General features: G+C 47.6%; 2 annotated features.

Moving 5' to 3' along the window:
• Positions 344-638: a silencer, noted in NCBI's record as "tiled region #5332; HepG2 Repressive non-DNase unmatched - State 22:ReprW". NCBI's record gives its function as "represses a minimal TATA promoter and a strong SV40 promoter by Sharpr-MPRA in HepG2 cells {active_cell/tissue: HepG2}" and the evidence as "EXISTENCE:reporter gene assay evidence [ECO:0000049][PMID:27701403]".
• Positions 14,377-14,877: an enhancer, noted in NCBI's record as "H3K4me1 hESC enhancer chr20:5668750-5669250 (GRCh37/hg19 assembly coordinates)". NCBI's record gives its function as "activates a minimal SCP1, AML or CMV promoter by ChIP-STARR-seq in primed H9 embryonic stem cells {active_cell/tissue: H9 hESC(primed)}" and the evidence as "EXISTENCE:reporter gene assay evidence [ECO:0000049][PMID:30033119]".

Raw genomic sequence — 20,143 nt, 5'->3', positions numbered from 1 at the left:
TCCAGCCTGGGCAACCAGAGCAAAACTCCATCTCAAAAAAAATAAATAAATAAAATAAAATAGAGACAGGGTCTTGCAATGTTGCCCAGGCTGGTCTCAAACTCCTACCTCGGTCTCCCAAAGTGATGGGATTACAGGTGTGAGCCCCTGCCCTCAGCCAATGGTGACTGATTAACCAGAAAGGCATTCACTCAAGACTTTCAGATAGAGATCATCAACACTGTAAAGAGGGAATGAAAAGTTTGATTTTTTTTTTTTTAATTGATCATTCTTGGGTGTTTCTCGCAGAGGGGGATTTGGCAGGGTCACAGGACAATAGTGGAGGGAAGGTCAGCAGATAAACAAGTGAACAAAGGTCTCTGGTTTTCCTAGGCAGAGGACCCTGCGGCCTTCCGCAGTGTTTGTGTCCCTGGGTATTTGAGATTAGGGAGTGGTTATGACTCTTAACGAGCATGCTGCCTTCAAGCATCTGTTTAACAAAGCACATCTTGCACCACCCTTAATCCATTTAACCCTGAGTGGACACAGCACATGTTTCAGAGAGCACGGGGTTGGGGGTAAGGTCACAGATCAACAGGATCCCAAGGCAGAAGAATTTTTCTTAGTACAGAACAAAATGAAAAGTCTCCCATGTCTACTTCTTTCTACACAGACACAGCAACCATCCGATTTCTCAATCTTTTCCCCACCTTTCCCCCTTTTCTATTCCACAAAACCGCCATTGTCATCATGGCCCGTTCTCAATGAGCTGTTGGGTACACCTCCCAGACGGGGTGGCGGCCGGGCAGAGGGGCTCCTCACTTCCCAGTAGGGGCGGCCGGGCAGAGGCGCCCCTCACCTCCCGTACGGGGCGGCTGGCCGGGCCTGGGGCTGACCCCCCACCTCCCTCCCGGACGGGGCGGCTGCCGGGCGGAGGGGCTCCTCACTTCTCAGACGGGGCGGCCAGGCAGAGACGGTCCTCACCTCCCAGACGGGGTCGCGGCCGGGCAGAGGTGCTCCTCACATCCCAGATGGGGCGGCGGGGCAGAGGCGCTCCCCACATCTCAGACAATGGGCGGCTGGGCAGAGACGCTCCTCACTTCCTAGATGGGATGGCGGCCGGGAAGAGGCGCTCCTCACTTCCCAGACTGGGCAGCCAGGCAGAGGGGCTCCTCACATCCCAGATGATGGGCGGCCAGGCAGAGACGCTCCTCACTTCCCAGACGGGGTGGCGGCCGGGCAGAGGCTGCAATCTCGGCACTTTGGGAGGCCAAGGCAGGCGGCTGGGAGGTGCAGGTTGTAGCGAGCCGAGATCACGCCACTGCACTCCAGCCTGGGCACCATTGAGCACTGAGTGAACGAGACTCCGTCTGCAATCCCGGCACCTCGGGAGGCCGAGGCTGGCGGATCACTCGCGGTTAGGAGCTGGAGACCAGCCCGGCCAACACAGCGAAACCCCGTCCCCACCAAAAAAATACGAAAACCAGTCAGGCGTAGCGGCGCGCGCCTGCAATCGCAGGCACTCGGCAGGCTGAGGCGGGAGAATCAGGCAGGGAGGTTGCAGTGAGCCGAGATGGCAGCAGTACAGTCCAGCCTCGGCTGGGCATCAGAGGGAGACCGTGGAAAGAGAGGGAGAGGGAGACCGGAGGGAGAGGGAGGGGGAGGGGGAGGGGGGGGAGAACTTAAAGTTATCTTAAATATTATAATCGAAAAGTTTGATTTTTATCCTCCTTGGGTCTTGTAGAAGATTCAGGCTCTTGATGTTTCTGAACTGTTGCATCAGCTACCTGTTCATTTATGTCTTCCTTTTTAGGCTGTAAATTCCTCAGGGCAAGTCCTCAGCCTTATTTATCTTTGTTTTTCCAAATTCCAGAAAATTCTGAATGCACGGAAGATATTTGTGCTTATTGAACGGCATGACAGGGTGACTGTATACATTAATACATGAGTAAATAAAGTTCATAGGTTTTCACTGTTGAATGATTCCAGGTATAACTGCATGTTCAGCACAGAGCCTGCTAGTGATCACTTGTTGAATACAAATAAAGGTAGCCGGGTGCATCGAGACCAGCCTGGCCAACATGGTGAAACCCCATCTCTACTAAAATACAAAAAATTAGCCGGGCGTGGTGATGCACACTTGTAGTCCCAGGTGCTGGGAGGCTGAGGCACGAGAATCGCTTGAACCTGGGAGGCAGAGATTGCAGTGAGCCGAGATTGTGCCACTGCACTCCAGCCTGGGCAACAGAGTGAGATTCTGCCAAAAAAAAAAAAAAGGAATATAAATAAAGGTAAAGCTGTAAACTGGCAACAGCCTACCTGAGCCTTCTTTAGGACTCTCACATAGCCAGCCCTGTTTTTGGTGACTTCGTCCCTCACATGCTTAGTCATTATCATGCAATTTGACAAGTGTTCTTGTGCTCCTACAGAGATGCTGAAGAATCATAATGATACACCTTTGTGCAGCTCCCAACCTGCACAAAATAGCTGCACTCTAACAACCAAACGGCATTGCATTTGTGTCCACTTCATGGCATTCCTGCCTTCACAGTAAAATCACATTCAGTACAGGTAAAATACTCTCTAAAATACTCTTTTTTTTTTTCTCAAGATGGAGTCTTGCTTTGTCACCCAGGCTGGAGTGCAGTGGCATGATCTTGGCTCACTGCAACCTCCGCCTACCGGGTTCAAGCAATTCTCCTGCCTCAGCCTCCTGAGTAGCTGGGATTACAGGCACACACCACCACACCTGGCTAATTTTTGTATTTTTAGTAGATACAGGGTTTCACCATGTTGGCCAGGCTGGTCTCGAACACCTGACATCGTGATCCGCCTGCCTTGGCCTCCCGAAGTACTGAGATTACAGATGTGAGCCACCGTGCCCAGCCTAAAATACTCTTACAGGCGGAGCACAGTGGCTCACGCCTGTAATCCCAGCACTTTGAGAGGCCGAGGCAGGAGGATCATTTGAGTCCAGGAGTTCGAGACCAGCCTGAGCAGCATAGTGAGACCTGGTCTCTACAAAAAATACAAAATTAGCCAGGCATGGTTGTGAGCACCTGTATACCCAGCTACTCAGGAGACTGAGATGGGAGGATTGCTTGAGCCTGGGAGGTTGAGGCTGCAGTGAGCCGTGATTGTGCCACTGCACTGCAGCCTGGGTGACAGAAATGAGACTGTGTCTCAAAAATAATAATTTCATAAATAAATAAAATACTCGAAGAATAAGAGATACAGGCATAACAAAGAAATGAAGACAGGCCAGTTAAGTCAAAAAGAGGAGAAGAAAACAATAGAATGAGAACAAGTGAGCAAATCCTATAGTGCAAGGAATTTACCTGGCATTGAAAAGGGTAGAGAAGGCCAGGCCTGGTGGGTCACGCCCATAATCCCAGCATTTTGGGAGGTTGGGGGAGGTGGATCACTTAAGGTCAGGTGTTTGAGACCAGTCTGGCCAACATGGTGGAACTCTGTCTCCATTAAAAATACAAAAAATTAGCCAGGCGTGGTGGCAGGCACCTGTAATCCCAACTACTTGGGAGTCTGAGGCAGGAGAATCACTTGAACCTGGGAGGCAGTGGTTGCAGTGGGCTGAAATTGTGCCACTGCACTCCAGCCTGGATGACAGAGCAAGACTCCATCTCAAAGAAAACAAAACAAAAAAAAAGAAAGATGAAAGAAAGAAAGAAAGAGAAAAAGAAAGAGAGAAAGAAAGAAAAGAGTAGAGAAAACAGCACTCTCTCCCTTTTTTTTTTAGACAAGTTCTCACTCTATCGCCCAGGCTGGAGTATAATGGCATGATCGTGGTTCACTGCAGCCTTAACCTTCCAAGGCTCAGGTGAGCCTCCTACCTCAGCCTCCCGAGTAGCTGGAACTATAGGTGCATGCCACCATGCCTGGTTAATTTTTTTGTATTTTTGGTAGAGACGGGGTCTCACCATGTTGCCCAGGCTGATCTCAAACTCCTGGGCTCAAGTGATCCACCCACCTCAACCTTCCAAATGCTGGGATTACAAGCATAAGCCACCTTTCTCCTTAAACCCAGAGTCAAAAACTGTTTCAAAAACAGAGCTACAGAAAGATTAAACATCTGTGATTTTAGAAAATCACAATGAAAAGAGAAGAGGCTGTCATTTTGGCTCTTAGAACCCAGGGGTCTCTGATAGCATTGGGCTAGTTTTGAGATGCTTCTATATAAGGTCATGATTTCTCAACTGGTTATAGAGATGCCTCTTGACTGGGTGACTTTCGGCAGGGTACTTGACCTTTCTTGCCTCTGTTTTTCATCTATCTACATCATGAAATTGTTATGAGGACAGATGAAACAGTATCTATAAAGGGCCTAGAATGATGCCTGGTACATAGTAAGTGTGCTGTAATTATTATTTATTATTACATCTTTTGTTGTTAAAGAGTAAATCAGCAAAATAAAATTCTGGTTAATTGTTGAACATTGTTTCACACATACATCAAACAAGTGAAAACATTTATAAACAAACAGCAACTTTATAGACAAAAAAAGAGGAAAAAAAAAAAAAAAAGAAAGAAACCCAGCCAGACACAGCAGCTCACACCTGTAATCCCAGCACTTTGGGAGGCCAAGACAGGAGAATCACTTGAGCTTAGGTGTTCAAGATCAGCCTGAACAAAACAGTGAGACCCCCTGTCTCTACAAAAATTTTAAAAATTAGTTGTGCATAATGGTGTACACCTGTGGTCCCAGGTACTCGGGAGGCTAAGGAGGGAAAACTGCTTGAGCCAGGAAGGTCAAGGTTACAATGAACACTGATTGCACCACTGCACCAGTCCAGCGAGACCGTGTCTCTAAAAAAAGAGAGAGAGAGAGAGAGAAATCTTTTGTATTTGGCCTATTTAACCATTTCGTACAAACCAACTACTCATAGTACAGCTTAATACATACACAAAAAAACTTAATAGATGCTCAGAATAAGAGTTGTCCTTTTGCTTTTCTTTTCTTTTTTTTTTTTTTTTTTTTTTGAGATGGAGTCCCGCTCTGTCACCAGGCTGGAGTGCAGTGGCACAATCTCAGCTCACTGCAACCTCTGCCTCCCTTGTTCAAGCAATTCTCCTGCCTCAGCCTCCCAAGTAGCTGGGATTACAGGCACATGCCACTACATCCAGCTAATTTTTGTATTTTTAGTAGAGACGGGGTTTCTCTGTGTTAGCCAGGATGGTCTCGATCTCCGGACCTCGTGATCCGCCCACCTTGGCCTCCCAAAGTGCTGGGATTACAGGCGTGAGCCACCACGCCCAGGCTGCTTTTCTTTTTATAAGGTTTTTTCCTTTGAGATTTTAAGGAACAAGGTCATGCCACAAGTAAAATCGGAAGTAGGACAGAGAACGCTCTGAAGACTGCTTTGCTCTTCCAAGATCATTAAGTGTGGCTGACCCCTAACAATATGTACAAAAATATAAAAGGTAAATTTAAAATGAAAAAAACAAAAAACAAACCCCCCCGCCCACCTTTTTTTTTTTTTTTTTGAGATGGAGTTTTGCTCTTGTCGCCCAGGCTGGAGTGCAATGGCATGATCTCGGCTCACTGCAACCTGCGTCTCCTGGGTTCAAGCAATTCTCTTGCCTCAGCCTCCCTAGTAGCTGGGAGTACAGGCATGTGACACCATGCCCAGCTAATTTTTTGTATTTTTAGTAGAGACAGGGTTTCACCATGTTGGCTAGGCTGTTCTTGAACTCCTGACCTCAGGTGATCCACCTGCCTTGGCCTCCCAAAGTGCTGAGATTAAAAAGGCATGAGCCACCATGCCCGGCCAAAAATCTCCTTTGAAAGTACTTTTGAGAAAAAAAAGCAGGGCCTTGGGATTATTCATTCTTTTTTCCTGTCCCGTTGCAAAGTCACGCTGCAGTTTTGGTGGGTGGTGGAAAATCTATGCCATCTGCTGGTGGTGCTCCCCCCGAGGATGGACAGCCTCTGTGCTCCAAGGCGACCAACTGAGATTCTGAGAAGGCAGGTGAAGAGAATGGCCCCATGCTGCAGGGGGTCAGGCAGTGGGGCAGGGGAGTGCTGTATGACCTAGAGATGTGATAAAAGTCATGAGACTTCATGCCTTCTACCTGATCTCCATCTAGTACATAGATTAAATGATGTCCCCATCAGCTGACAAAGAACACTTGACACCCATCAAAAGTCATCAGGCATTTGTGGGGTTTTTTGTTGTTTATTTTTTGAGGCCAAGTCTCATTCTGTCACCCAGGCTGGAGTGCAGTGGTGCAATCTCAGCTCACTGCAACCTCTGCCTCCTGGGTTCAGGTGATTCTCAGGCCTCAGCCTCCTGAGTAGCTGGAATTACAGGCGTGCACCAACACACCCAGCTAATTTTTGTATTTTTATTAAAGACAGGGTTTCACCATGTTGGTTAGGCTGGTCTCAAACTTCCAACCTCAGATGATCTACTCGCCTCGGCCTCCCAAAGAGCTGGGATTACAGGCGTGAGCCACTGTGCTCGGCCATCAGGTATTCGTTGAGTCTTTGGCAAGGTCTTGGTGTCTCTCTGGGCCCAAGCCTGCTGTCTTTTGCAGCTTGGGGCACAAGGTTTCTAGAGTCCACTGTCCTCATGTTTCCCTTGGCATGTAAATAAATTCCCAGAGTGATTGCCAGAACTCAAATAAACAACCCTGCTCTCAGCCTGAACTTTTTTTTTTTTAAGATGACCTCAGACAACCTTTCCTCCCCATTTTAGGTACACAGACCTTTTAGCACGTGACCTTAAGGATTGCATCTTATGGTATTCATACTCCTTATCCATATGTCTTGAACAAGAACCTCATAAACAGCCAAGAAGTGTGCGTCAGGAACAGTGATTCATGTTATTGTGCTGATGGACCTCAGTAGTGCCAGATGACTTGTGTGGCGTGAGCATCAGCCAATGGAATGGACACTAGCCCATCAGGGCAGATGCCTCTAAACAAACTGCACTGGTTTGTACTGGCAGGGCTCCACCACGCAGACAGCCACATCAGTAACTCTCTGCCAAACATCAGGAATACGTGCTATCTAATAGGGTTTCCCCCAAGAGCAAAATCTGAGAGAAGGGCGTGGATCCAGGTAGTTTATTTGGGAGGTGATGCCAGGAAGCAGGAGTAGGGAATAGGGAGAATGAAACCAAAAAGGGGGAAAAGCCAACACGAATTGTCTGAATGAGGTGTGTGAATCCTGCTGGGACCTTCGAAGGAACCATAAAGAAAGCACATCAAGAAGTGCTCCACTTAGGCCAGGCGCGGTGGCTCACACCTGTAATCCCAGCACTCTGGGAGGCTGAGGCAGGCGGATCACTTGAGGTCAGGAGTTCAAGACCAGCCTGGCCAACATGGTGAAATCCCATCTCTACTAAAAATACAAAAATTAACTGGTACGGTGGCATACCCCTGTAGTCCCAGCTATTTGGGAGGCTGAGGCAGGAGAATTGATAGGACTTGGGAGATGGAGGTTGCAGTGAGCAGAGATCACGCCACTGCACTGCAGCCTGGGTGACAGAGGGAGACTCCATGAAGAAGAAGGAGAGGGAGACGAAGGAGAAAAAAGAAGAAGGAGGAGGAGGAGGAGGAGGAGGAGGAGGAGGAGAACTCCGCCAGCAGATGGAGGCTGCAGCATCTAAGCACTGCTCCCATTCCATGTGGGGTGAGGGTAGCTCCCAGGTTGTTAATTCCCTGATACTTTCAGGTTGCACCTGAATTTGGCTTCTACTGTCTTAGAGAAGGCAGAGAGGTGTTTCCATATATGCTTGAGAAATAATACTGGCAAAGTGCACAGAACTATCAAAGGTGCACTGAAATCAGGTGAGTTGCAGAGATGTGACACCAGACGTCACAAACGCTTGCTACAAATGCTTAATAAAAGTATAAATGAAGTGCAGCAAGAGCGTTGCACAGGCCCCCTTAAATCTTTGTGGTAGAAGACAGATGCTTATTGGCCTGTGCAACATCCCTTCCTCTGGGGAACCACTTTTTTCTCCACTTCAATGTGATTGCGTTGATTCTATATAGTATGCGGAAAAATAGCCTCTCAAACATATTCATGTCACAGCCCCTGGAACTTGTAAATGTGTTAGATTACATGGAAAAGGGGAATTAAGGTTGCAGAAGGAATTAAGATTGCTATTCTAATCAGCTGACTTGGAATGGGGAGATTATCCTGGATTATCCAGTGCACCCAATATAAACACAAAAGTCCTTATAAGTAGAAGAGGGAGACAGAAAAATGAGAACCAGAAAAATAAGAGCATGAGAAGGAGGTTGCTGGTGTTGAGGATGGAGGAATAGGGCACAAGCCAGGAGATGTAGGTGGTCCCTAGAAAGTGGAAAAGGCAAGGACACAGATTCTCTCTTAGAGCCTCCAGAAAGGAAGGCAGTCAAGCCATGACCTTGATTTTAGCCCAGTGATTCCCATTTTAGACTTGTGACCTCTAGAACTGGGAGGTAATCAATGTGTGCGACTTCAAGCCCCTAAATTTGTGGTAAATTGTTACAGCAGCAATAGAAACTAACAGACTCCACATGATTTGATGAGGCTGACGGGGCCATATCCTCGCCCCCAAAGCTGGGAACATGACCCAGTCATCCATCAGCATCCGTCGTGATTCATCCAAGAACAGATGCACAACCTAAGCAGGGCCTGGCCCTTTCCAATCCTAATGGGAAAGAGACATCCTCTTTAACTGGGATATGGCCTCTATGGCCCTTCCACCCTTGTAATTACATTGGTCACAACAAGATCACAGCAAGAAGGGGTAAAAACATAGAATATGTCTGTCTGTGGGAGGTTTTAAAAAGCCTGGTGCGGGCTGGGCGCAGTGGCTCATGCCTGTAATCCCAGCACTTTGGGAGGCTGAGACGGGTGGATCACCTGAGGTCAGGAGTTCGAGACCAGGATGGTGAACATGGTGAAACCCCGTTTCTACAAAAAAATAAAAATAAATAAATAAAAAATACAAAAATCAGCCAGGAGTGGTGGCACAGATCTGTAGTCCCAGCTACTTGGGTGGCTGAGGTGGTAAAATCACTTGAGCCCAGGAGGCGGAGTTTGCAGTGAGCCGAGATTACACCACTGTACTCCAGCCTGGGTAATAGAGTGAGACTCTGTCTCAAAACAAACAAACAAACAAACAAACAAAAATCTAAATCTAAAAACAGGTCTAAAAAACATTATTTTGAAGTAGTAAAGGGTATAAAGGATACTTTAAGATGTCTGCAATCTGGAAATACCTGGGGGCTTTTTTGTTTGTTTTTTTTTTTACTTGTGACAAAATCACAATTCCTGCTAATATCATTGTGGTTTGTTGCCCACATTCATCATGGAAGGGGAAGGTCAATTTCAGTTGGAAGTTAGTGAAAATAGGAATGATTCTTTTCCTAGCCAAGTTTGTGGACCTCCTAAATTTTATTCAGACTCGTTGGGATCCACAGATTCAGGCTCAAAAGTCCTGAATTGTTATTTCACTTTCCCTAAAAATAAGCCTCCCCCTCCCGCCCACCTTTTTTGTGTGCAAAAAAAGGCTGGAGTGCAATGGTGCGATCTTGGCTCACTGCAACCTCCGTCTCCCAGGTTCAAGCGATTCTCCTGCCTCAGCCTCCTGAGTAGCTGGGATTACAGGCATGTGTCACTATGCCTGGCTAATTTTGTATTTTTACTAGAGACAGGGTTTCTCCATGTTGGTCAAGCTGGATTACAGGCAGGAGTCACCGTGCCCGGCCTCTCACTTTTTTTTTAATGGAGTCTTGCTCTGTCACCCAGGCTGGAGTACAGTGGTACAATCATAGCTCCCTACAGCCTCGAACTCCTGGGCTCAAGCAATCCTCCTGCCTCAGCCTCTTGAGTAGCTAGGACTACAGACACTCACTACTGTGCCTATTTTTTTTTAAATTATTATTATTTTGTAGAAATGGGGTCTTTCCTTGTTGCCCAGGCTGGTCTTGAACCCCTGGCCTCTCAAGTGTTCTTCCCTCGGCCTCCCAAAGCACTGAGATTACAAGTGTGAGCTGTGCTTGGTTCAGTCTGGGTGAGCCTACAATTGAAAATACCTCACAGGGTACCTCGAAGCTGCTACCCACCTTTCTGGCCTACTACTCCACTGGACCCCTTGTCTCCATGCACTCTTTGTGTGGGCATAGCCAACTAGCCAACATTCACCCACTGGTGGGACAACAACAGAAGTATTGCTTATCATTATTGAGGGCTGACCAGGTGCCATACTCTTTTAAAGCATAACCTAATTTAATCCTGTGGCTGGGCATGGTGGCTCATGCATGTAATCCCAGCACTTTGGGAGGCCAAGGTGGGTGGATCACCTGAGGTCAAGAGTTCGAGTGTAGCCTGGCCAACATGGTGAAACTCCATCTCTACTAAAAATACAAAACTTAGCCAGGCAGGGTGGTGGCGCGCGCCTGTAATCACAGTTACTTGGGAGGCTAAGGCAGGAAAATCGCTTGAACCCAGGAGGCAGAGGTTGCAGTGAGTGGAGATCACACCACTGCGCTCCAGCCTGGGCCACAGAGCGAGACTCTATCTCAAAAAATAAAATAAAATAAAATAAAATAAAATAAAATAAAATAAAATAAAATAAAATAATTTAATCCTTGTGACAGCACAATGAGGCAGGTCCTACCATAATTCCCATCATATAGCTGATGCTCAGAGCAGTGGAGTGACTTGCCTAAGGAGAATAAGCAGTGAGGAGTCAGAGTCAGGATTCAAACCTGTTTGTCCAACTCCAGATTCAAATCCTCTAGCCACTTCACAGAACTCTTTTGCTTGTTTTTGGGCCTCTGTGTGCATAACCATTTCCGTCTGCCTGCAACACCTGCTCTGGTCTCTGCCTGGTAAACCCTCACTCCCTTCAAATGCTGCCGGTGCTCCCCCTTCCCTTGGCCCCTTGGCCTCACTGGTTCAGTGCACACCAATCAGACTGCCAAGTGCTAGCACCTGCAACCTTTTGCCTGAGTGTTTTCTGAAACTGTTGGTGCCTGCTCTGCATACATACATCGAAGGGCTGAGTACTAGGGAATTAATGGCCCCAAAAGAGGCTCCCAACCAATATTGATGGAAGCAGATGCATAAATCCCCGTCCCTCCATCCCTCCCAGACAAAATCTACAGTTTCCCAGCATCCCCGAGAAGGATAAAGCTCCAGCTGCCTACAATGGTAACTTGCTTAATAAGTTTGGTGTTTTTTTTTTTTTTTTTTTGTAAACAAGGTCTGGCCCTGTCACCCAGGCTGGAGTGCAGTGGCGTGATCCCGGCTCACCACAGTCTTGACTTCCCAGGCTCAAGCAATCCTCCTACTTCAGCCTCCCAAGTAGCTGGGACTACAGGCATGCACCACCGCTCCCAGCTAATTTTTGTGTTTTTTGTACAGACGGGGTTTTGTCATGTTGCCCAGGCTGGTCTCTAATTCCTGAGCTCAAGTTATCAGTCCCCCTTGGCCTCCCAAAGTTCTGGTTCTGGGATGACAGGTGTGAGCCACCATGCCCAGCCTGATTCACTTTTTTTTTTTTTTTTTTTGAGATGGGGGTCTTGCTCTTGTCGCCCAGTCTGGAGTGCAATGGCACAATCTTGGCTCACTGCAACCTCTGCCTTTCCGGGTTCAGGCCATTCTCCCGACTCAGCCTCCGGAGTAGCTGGGATTACAGGCGCCCGCCACCATGCCCGGCTAATTTTTGTATTTTTAGTAGAGATGAGGTTTTGCCGTGTTGGCCAGGCTGGTCTCAAACTCCTGACCTCATGATCTGCCCACCTCAGCCTCCCAAAGTGCTGGGATTACGGGCATGAGCCACCGCACACACTTTTACTGACTTCTTTCCTTTTTTCTGTCTCACTCTGTCACTCCCTTACTGTTGATTCCTGGGAACATCACCCAAAACCATTGCTTGCACTGGAATCTCATCTCAGGCTCCACCTCTAGAGGACCCAAAGCATGCCTTCTCTGAGAAGCCTTCTTCACTTTCCCTAGCAGAGCTGGCTATTCCCTCTTCTGCCCATGGCCTGGGACACACTCCATGAAGGTCGTATTCACATTGGCTTGCAGTAGTTAGTTGACATGTCAGGGTGTAGGTTTCCTATTGCTGCTATAGCATTACTACAAATGGAGTGGCTTAAAGCAATTTCATTTATTGTCTCACAGTTCTGTAGGTCAGAGCCCCACTCTCAAAAACTCTGGCTCAACTGAGTCATCTGCTCAGGGCCCCAGAAAGCCTCACTCAAGGTGGTGACAGGGCTGGGTTCCCTACTGCAAGCTCTGGGGATGGATCCCCTTCAGGTGTTGGTCAAATTTAGTTCCTTGTGGTCGTAGGGCTGGCGTCCCACCTTCCTTGCTGGTTGTGAGCTGAGGGCCAGTCTTTGCTCCAAGAAGCTTCCTGCATTATTTCTCATGCTTTCCATGTGGCCCCTTCACAGGTCAAGTCTTTCTCACACTTAAAAACCTCCCTGACTTTTCTTTCTGCCACATCTGTCTGACTCCAGCTGGAGAAAATTCTGTTTTAGGGGATCATGCGATTAAATTGGGACCACCCAGATAATACAGTATAATCTCCCTATTTTAAGTTTTTGGGTTTTTTTGAGACAGGGTCTTGCTCTGTCACCCAGGCTGAAGTTGGAGTGCAGTGGCACGATCACGGCTCAGTGCAGTCTCTACATCCTGGGCTCAAGTGATCCTCCCAACTCAGCCTCCCAAGTAGCTGGGACTATAGGCCCGTACCACATGCCTGGATACTTTTTTTTTTTTTTTGTAGAGATAGGGTTTCACCACATTGCCCAGGCTGGTCTTGAACTTCTGGGCTCAAGCGAGGCCACCTCAACCTCCCAAAGTACTGGAATTACAGGTACAGGTGAGTCACTGTACCTGGCCCATTTTCCCTATTATTCCTATTACTTCCTGGGGTTGCCTTCATATGGTATTTCTACCTGGTCTCTAGCTCGCCGAATGGATACAGCCTTTGCAAAAGTTTTTCTGTTATTATTAAATATATAATCAGGCCTCACTTGAGCCTGACCTGCTGGTCTATACTGCAGGTCTTCTTAGGATCAGAAATCAATCTTTCTTCCCAGATTTATCCAGCACAGTTTGAGAAAAACAGTCCAATTACCTCATAAACTTCATGCTGAGGCTATAGATTTTCATTTCCTAATTTCCTCTGTTCCATTCTATGACTTCCTATTTCTTTTCCTAGCTCCTGGTCTGCCCTTGAAAGCACCGGTTGGAAACCAATTTCCGTTCCTTGACAAGGGAAACCCTGTTTACACTCAGGGTTTCCTACTCTGTTACATAAGGGTCCGACAGTCACATTTCCTCCTCATGCTGTACAAGCAGTTTATTTCAAGCTGCGTCTACACACAGCAACTGGACATTTGCAGAAATCTTAGGGCCGTAGTCCTGCAGCATAGCCAGACCCAAAGCAGGGTACGTTAGGGTTCAAGGCCACCCTGTGCCCTCTACTTTCAAAGAAAATATCCTTGAGTGGTGGAATTTGGGTAATTTTAACTTTTTAAATTGATTTTTCTTTTTTTTTTGTTGAGACAGATTTTCTCTGTCTCCCAGGTTGGAGTGCAGTGGTGCAATCTCAGCTCACGGCAACCTCTGCCTCCCAGGTTCAAGTGATTCTCATGCCTCAGCCCCTCGAGTAGCTGGGATTACAGGTGCGCCCCACGACGCTAGGCTAATTTTTTGTATTTTTAATAGAGACAAGGTTTCTCTATGTTGGCCAGGCTGGTCTTGAACTCCTGGCCTCAAGTGATCTGCCCACCTCGGCCTCCCAAAGTGCTGAGATTACAGGAGTAAGCCACCGTGCCAGGCCTAAATTTATTTTTCTGTTTTTCAAAATTACATAACCGTCATGTTTTACTTTTATACTCGGAGGAAAAACATAAGCTTTGTTTAAAAAAAAAAAATCAATGATCGAATCAGCCTCTCTAATAGCCTACCCAAAAAGAAGTCCCCCTTTAGTGTGACTGGCTACCTCTTTCCAGACAGAAACTGAGGGCCAGAGTGGGTAACCTGTGACCCAGAGTGGGTAACCCGTGGCCCAGAGTGGGTAACCCGTGGCCATCTGGCCAGTAAGTGGCTGACTCAGGTCTTCATGTGATGACCCTGGGCATAGGTCTTATGTTAAGGTGGAAACCCCTAGAAGCTGACTCTGAGACAAGGACTCTTGTGCAAGTAGCTTATGTGGGAGGTGACTCCAGGAAACACCCGTGGGGAGGACGGGAAAAGGGAGCGGGGGCAGAGCGGTGGGGAGGGCGGAGACTGAGACAGAGAGTAGCTAATTAAGGGACTGGGGAGAAAGGGAGCTGAGCTGCATTTGTCCTCAGGGCACCTCTGGGAGCCAGTGTGGAACACACCTCTGCACGCTGCCTCTGCCGGGAAAGGCGGCTGGAGTGTTGAACATACCACCCCCCATCAGTCAGGCAGCAAGGGCTGCTTCCGGTGTGGGGCCAAGTCCTGGACACTCTGGCCTGCCACGTTGGGGGTAAAGTGGGCTCTGGCAGCAAGAGGAAGCCCTTGAGCAGCTGGCTTCCTCTTGTGAGGAAATAAGGGCCCCTACTTCCAAGGGGCCATGAGTAGGGCCCCGCCCGATGGAGAGGTCAGAGTGAGGGGACATGGTGGGCAAGAAGAGCACCTGCTACAGGTCTAACAGGGAGCAGCCTAAACTGGACCTAGGGGGCATGGAGATCCCTAACAGCCAAAGCCATAAAGTTGCACTGCTGGTCACAGTGCTCCAATCTTCATTCAAGTGAATGGATTACCTCCAGGAAATTAGTTATGAGAGGCAACACATTAATTCATGGCGCCAAGTACCATCTATGTCAGTCAGGATTCTTTGGTTGCAAGTGACGAAACCCAATTCCAATCAGACCCAATTCCAAGCAGACACAAAGGGAAAGAGGAAGGGCGCAACACTTCCTTGCATGAGCAGGAAGGGGAAGGTGCAAACTGTCTGTAATTCATCACATGGAGTGGGCACGAATTTTGCAATTTGTCTACCCAAAGGGAGTGCCTTTTTAAAATTTTTGCCCTAAACCATCTTCATGTTAGCAGCAGCTCAGTTATTCTCAGGAGAAGGATACCAGGCACACAGAATGACAAGTGTCCTCCTCAAAACTGTGACAGATAAAGTAGCTGCCACCCAGCAGAAAATAAGCCCACGACGGAATGGTAACTGTTGTGGGCTAAACTGCGTCCCTCAAGCAGATATGTTAAGGTCCCAACCCCTGGGACCTGTGAATGTGATCTTATTTGGAAATAGGGTCCCTGCAGATGCAATCAGGTTAAGATGAGGTCATACTGGATTAAATGGGCCCTAATCCAATATGACTGGTGTCTTTGTAAGAGGGGAAGAGGCCAGGTGCAGTGGCTCATGCCTGTAATTCCAGCACTTTGGGAGGCCAAGGTGGGTGGATCACTTGAGCTCAGGAGTTCAAGACCAGCCTGGGCAACATGGTGAAACCCCATCTCTACCAAGAATACAAAAATTAGCCAGGTGTGGTGGCATGCACCCGTAGTCCCAGCTACTCAGGAGGCTGAGGTGGGAGGATCGCTTGAGCCCAGGAGGCAGAGGTTGCAGTGAGCCAAGTTCACGCCACTGTACTACTCCAGCCTGGGTGACAGAGTAAGACCCTGTCTCAAAAAAAAAAAAAAAAAAAAAAGAGAGAGAGAGAGAAGTAACACAAGACACAGACACAAAAGGAAACACAGACACTCAAAGAGAGTGCCCTGTTGTGATGACAGGAATAGAGATTGGAGCAATACACGCAAGAACCCAGGAATGCCCAGAAGCTAAGAAAAAGGCATGGAATAGATTCTCCCCCTAGAACATTCAGAGCACACGGTCCTGCCTACACCTTGACTTCTGGTCTCCAGAACTGTCAGAGAAGCCACTCAGATTGTGACACTTTGTTATGGCAGCCCTGGGAAACTGATGCAGATGCTAACTTGACACTGGAGATCTAGAGGCAAGGAGGATGAAGTCCTGGACAGGACAAAGATCTGCCGTGGGCTCAGCATGAGGACACGGGGCAGCTAGGGTGTAAAGGGAGCCTGTGCTGAACTGGAAGGTGAGGTGAGTGCGCACCCATATGCCTCCCACCTGCGCTGCTGCCCATGGCCAAGTCTTTCTATGTGAGGAGTGACTTCCTACCCAAGCAAAGGTGACTAAGAGGAACAAAACATCCCCAACGTTTCCTTTAGATGGTTGCAGATCTTCTCTTCGAAGCCGTTACCTGAAGGTAAAGTGAAGGGGGGCAATGCTCTGTGGGAGGTCATTCCTTCAAATCTAGACGTTTTCTCATTTTCTTCGACTTCTGGGTTGAGTCTTCTTCTGCCACTCTGGCTGTAGCAATTTGACACTTAGCTAACCCTTGTTGAATGCTCCCTATGTGTTAAGCAATGTTTGTTTCGTTTTGTTGAGAGACAGGTTCTCATTCTGCCACCCAGGCCGGGGTGCAGTGGTGCGATCACGGCTCACTGCAGCCTTGACCTCCTGGGCTCAAGTGATCCTCTCACCTTGGCCTTCAGAGTAGCCGGGACTACAGATGTGCATCACCGTGCTCAACTAATTCAATTTCTTATGGAGACAGGATCTCACTAGGTTGCCTAGGCTGGTCTTGAACTCCCAGGCGCAAGTGATCCTCCTGTCTTTGCCTCCCGAAGTGCTGGAATTACAGGTGTGAGCCACGGTGCCAGGCCAAAGTCTTAAGTCTGCACTGTCTCATGCAATAGCTATAGCCACATGTGGCAATGTACATGTAAATTTAAATTAATTAAAATTAGATAAAATTAATCATTTAGCCTGGGCACGGTGGCTAACACCTGTAATCCCAGCACTTTGGGAGGCCGAGGTGGGCGGATCACCTGTGGTCAGGAATTTCGAGACCAGCCTGGACAACATGGTGAAAACCCTGTCTCTACTAAAAATACAAAAAGTAGCCGGGCCTGGTGGTGGGCATCTGTAATCCCAGCTACTCCGGAGGCTGAGGCAGGAGAATCCCTCGAACCTGGGAGGCGGAGGTTGCAGTGAGCCAAGGTCATGTCACTGCACTCCAGCCTGGGTGACAGAATTAATAATTCAGTTTCTTGGTTGCACTAGCTACACTCCAAGCACTCAGTAGCCAGTGGCTACTGTATCAGACAGCGTAGAAGATTTCCGTCATTGCAGAAAGTTTTACAGTGCTGTTCCAAGTCACTCACATGTATTACCTTATGCAATCATCACACCTCCTCTGAGGTAGGTTCTACTATCATCTTCATTTTAAAGTTGAAGAAATTGAGGCTTAGATCACAGAACAAGTAAGTCAGAGGAGCCAGGCTCGGCAGAGCATTCAGACCAGGCAGAGTTGAGGCACCACAGATTTCACCCATTTTCAGCAAGCTTGGCTCAGGTGAAGGCTCCAAGTAGCCTGTCCTTTCCCACTTTTTCCTGCACTTCCTCACTGTCCACTCAGAATTCCCAGTTCCCTTAAGGATCAGGAAACTAAGAAGGTAAATATGTGTGTAGTACCCAAATATTCTGGTACTTCTCTTTCTTTCAGTTCTCCCCTTTCCAGGTAAATGATAGGATTATACTTCCTGAGCCCTCATGAGCCTTCCAGGCTCATTGTTAAGTGAATGATGTGACTAATGCTGGCCAATGAATTTAAGGCAAAGAGCCACTTCTGAGTTGAAGGTTTATTTATTTATTTATTTTTGAGACAGAGTCTCGCTGTGTCACCCAGCTGGAGTGCAGTGGTGCAATCTTGGCTCACTGCAACCTCCACCTCCCAGGTTCAAGCAATTCTCCTGCCTCAGTCTCCCAAGTAGCTGGGACTACAAACATGGGCACCCTACCTGGCTAATTTTTTTTTGGGTTTGTATTTTTAGTAGAGATTAGGTTTCTCCATGTTGCCCAGACTGGTCTCAAACTCCTGGTCTCAAGTAATCTGCCCACCTCAGCCTTCCCAAAGTGCTGGGATTACAGGCGTGAGCCACTGCGCCCAGCCTGAGTTGAAGGTTTAATTGCTGGTGTAAGACCCTCCAGAGCTCTTTCCCTTCTGCAGTGACGGCCCGCAATGCTCAAGATGGTGGTTGCTCCATTGGCCTTTGACCTAGAGGGAGGCTGATGGTGACGAGGCACAGAGCCCTAGCTAACCCCGGATGAACATAATGTTTCAAGCAACGATTCTGAGGCTTTAAGCACAGCATAACTCAACCCACACTAGCCAATACATACATACATACATACATACGTGCATACATACATACATACATACATGCAAAAGATGGTCGCTCTGAGACAACCTCATAGATGTGACCAATACAGAGACTTAAAAACTGAAACCGACAATTTCTACTCTTCCTTCTGGAAGTAAAAAATATATGGCCGGTATGGTGGCTTACGCCTGCAATCCCAGCACATTGGAAGGCTGAGGTGAGAGGATCACTTGAGCCTAGGAGTTCAAGACCAGCCTGGGCAACATAGGGAGACCTTGTCTTTATTTTAAAAATTAAAAAATAAGAAATGTATTTTTATTGCCAGCAAAGCCAGGCAGTTTGGTAGGATGCTTACACACCTGAGACTACTTATCATCACTCTTCAGAAAAATTGAATTTCATCCTATAACTACTGTCTTTGGATAATTTCTTTAGTTTAATGTGGAGTCCAATACTTTGATGAGGCAGACGTAGACGTTGAGCTATTTCTTCTAAAGAGATAAAGAAGGTAAATCACATCATTTCTCAATCCAAGAGACACCATTAAATGAGAAATAGTGATATCAGGGATAAAAATTCCGGGAGGCTGAGGTGGGCGGATCAAGAGGTCAGGAGATTGAGACCATCCTGGTTAACACGGTGAAACCCCATCTCTACTAAAAATACTAAAAGAAATTAGCTGGGCGTGGTGGCGGGCGCCTGTAGTCCCAGCTACTCGGGAGGCTGAGGCAGGAGAATGGCGTGAACCCGGGAGGCAGAGCTTGCAGTGAGCCGAGATTGCGCCACTGCACTCCAGCCTGGGCGACAGAGCGAGACTCCGTCTCAAAAAAAAAAAAAATTCCAACACAGTAGAAATCCAGGCATTTCAGAAGTTTTATCTCAAGTAGGCTAATTGAAGTCAACTAGTAGTCTTGATCACTATGATTACAAAAGGTAACAGACATTTCTGAAAGGAATGGTATCGTGTCTTTTATTATTATTATTATTCTGAGATGGAGTCTTGCTCTGTTGCCCAGGCTCGAGTGCAGTGGGATGATCTTGGCTCACTGCAACCTCCACCTCCCAGGTTCAAGTGATTCTCGTGCCTCAGCCTCCTGAATAGCTGGGACCACAGGGACTCGCCACCACACCTGGCTAATTTTTGTATTTTTAGTAGAGACGAGGGTTTCACCATGTTGGCCAGGCTGGTCTCGAACTCCCGACCTCAGGTGATCCACCCACCTCGGCCTCCCAGTGTGCTGGGATTACAGGCGTGAGCCACTGCATCCAACCAGGAATGGTATCCTATGTTCTTTGTAGTTTCTATTCCCTGAGTCCATTATTAATAGTCAATCCATTAATAAACCAGTATAAGCCAAAGTGTGGAGAGGAACACAGAGCACATGTAATTTATAGTTCTGCTCACAAGGAATTTACAACCTATGCGAAGGGAACAAAGTAAAATTAATGAAATAATAGTGAACCATGGCCAGGCGTGGTGGCTCACACCTGTAATCCCAGCACTTTGGGAGGCCAAGACAGAAGGATTGCTTGAGCCCAGGAGCTTGAGATCAGCCTGGGAAACCAGGAGTGAGACCTCCTCCGTCTACAAAAAATTTATTTATTTATGTATGCATTTATATTTATTTTTTGAGACAGGGTCTCATTCTGTCACTCAGGTTGTAGTGCAACGGTGTGATCTCAGCTCATGGCAACGTCTGCCTTCCAGGCTTAAGTGATCTACCCACTTCAGCTTCCAAAGTAGCTAGGACTACAGGTGTGTGCCACCAAGCCCAGCTAATTTTTAAATCTTTTTGTATCTCACCATGTTGCCCAAGCTGGTCTCGAACTCCTGGGCTCAAGTGATCCACCTGCCTGGGCCTCCCAAAGTGTTGGGACTACAGGCATGAGCCACTGTGCTCAGACACCACAAAAAAATTTTTAAAAATTAGCCAGGCATGGTGGCACATGCCTGTA

Source organism: Homo sapiens, chromosome 20 (genome assembly GCF_000001405.40).
Source record: "Homo sapiens chromosome 20, GRCh38.p14 Primary Assembly".
NCBI lineage: Eukaryota > Metazoa > Chordata > Mammalia > Primates > Hominidae > Homo > Homo sapiens.
This window is presented reverse-complemented; position numbering and strand designations above follow the sequence as displayed.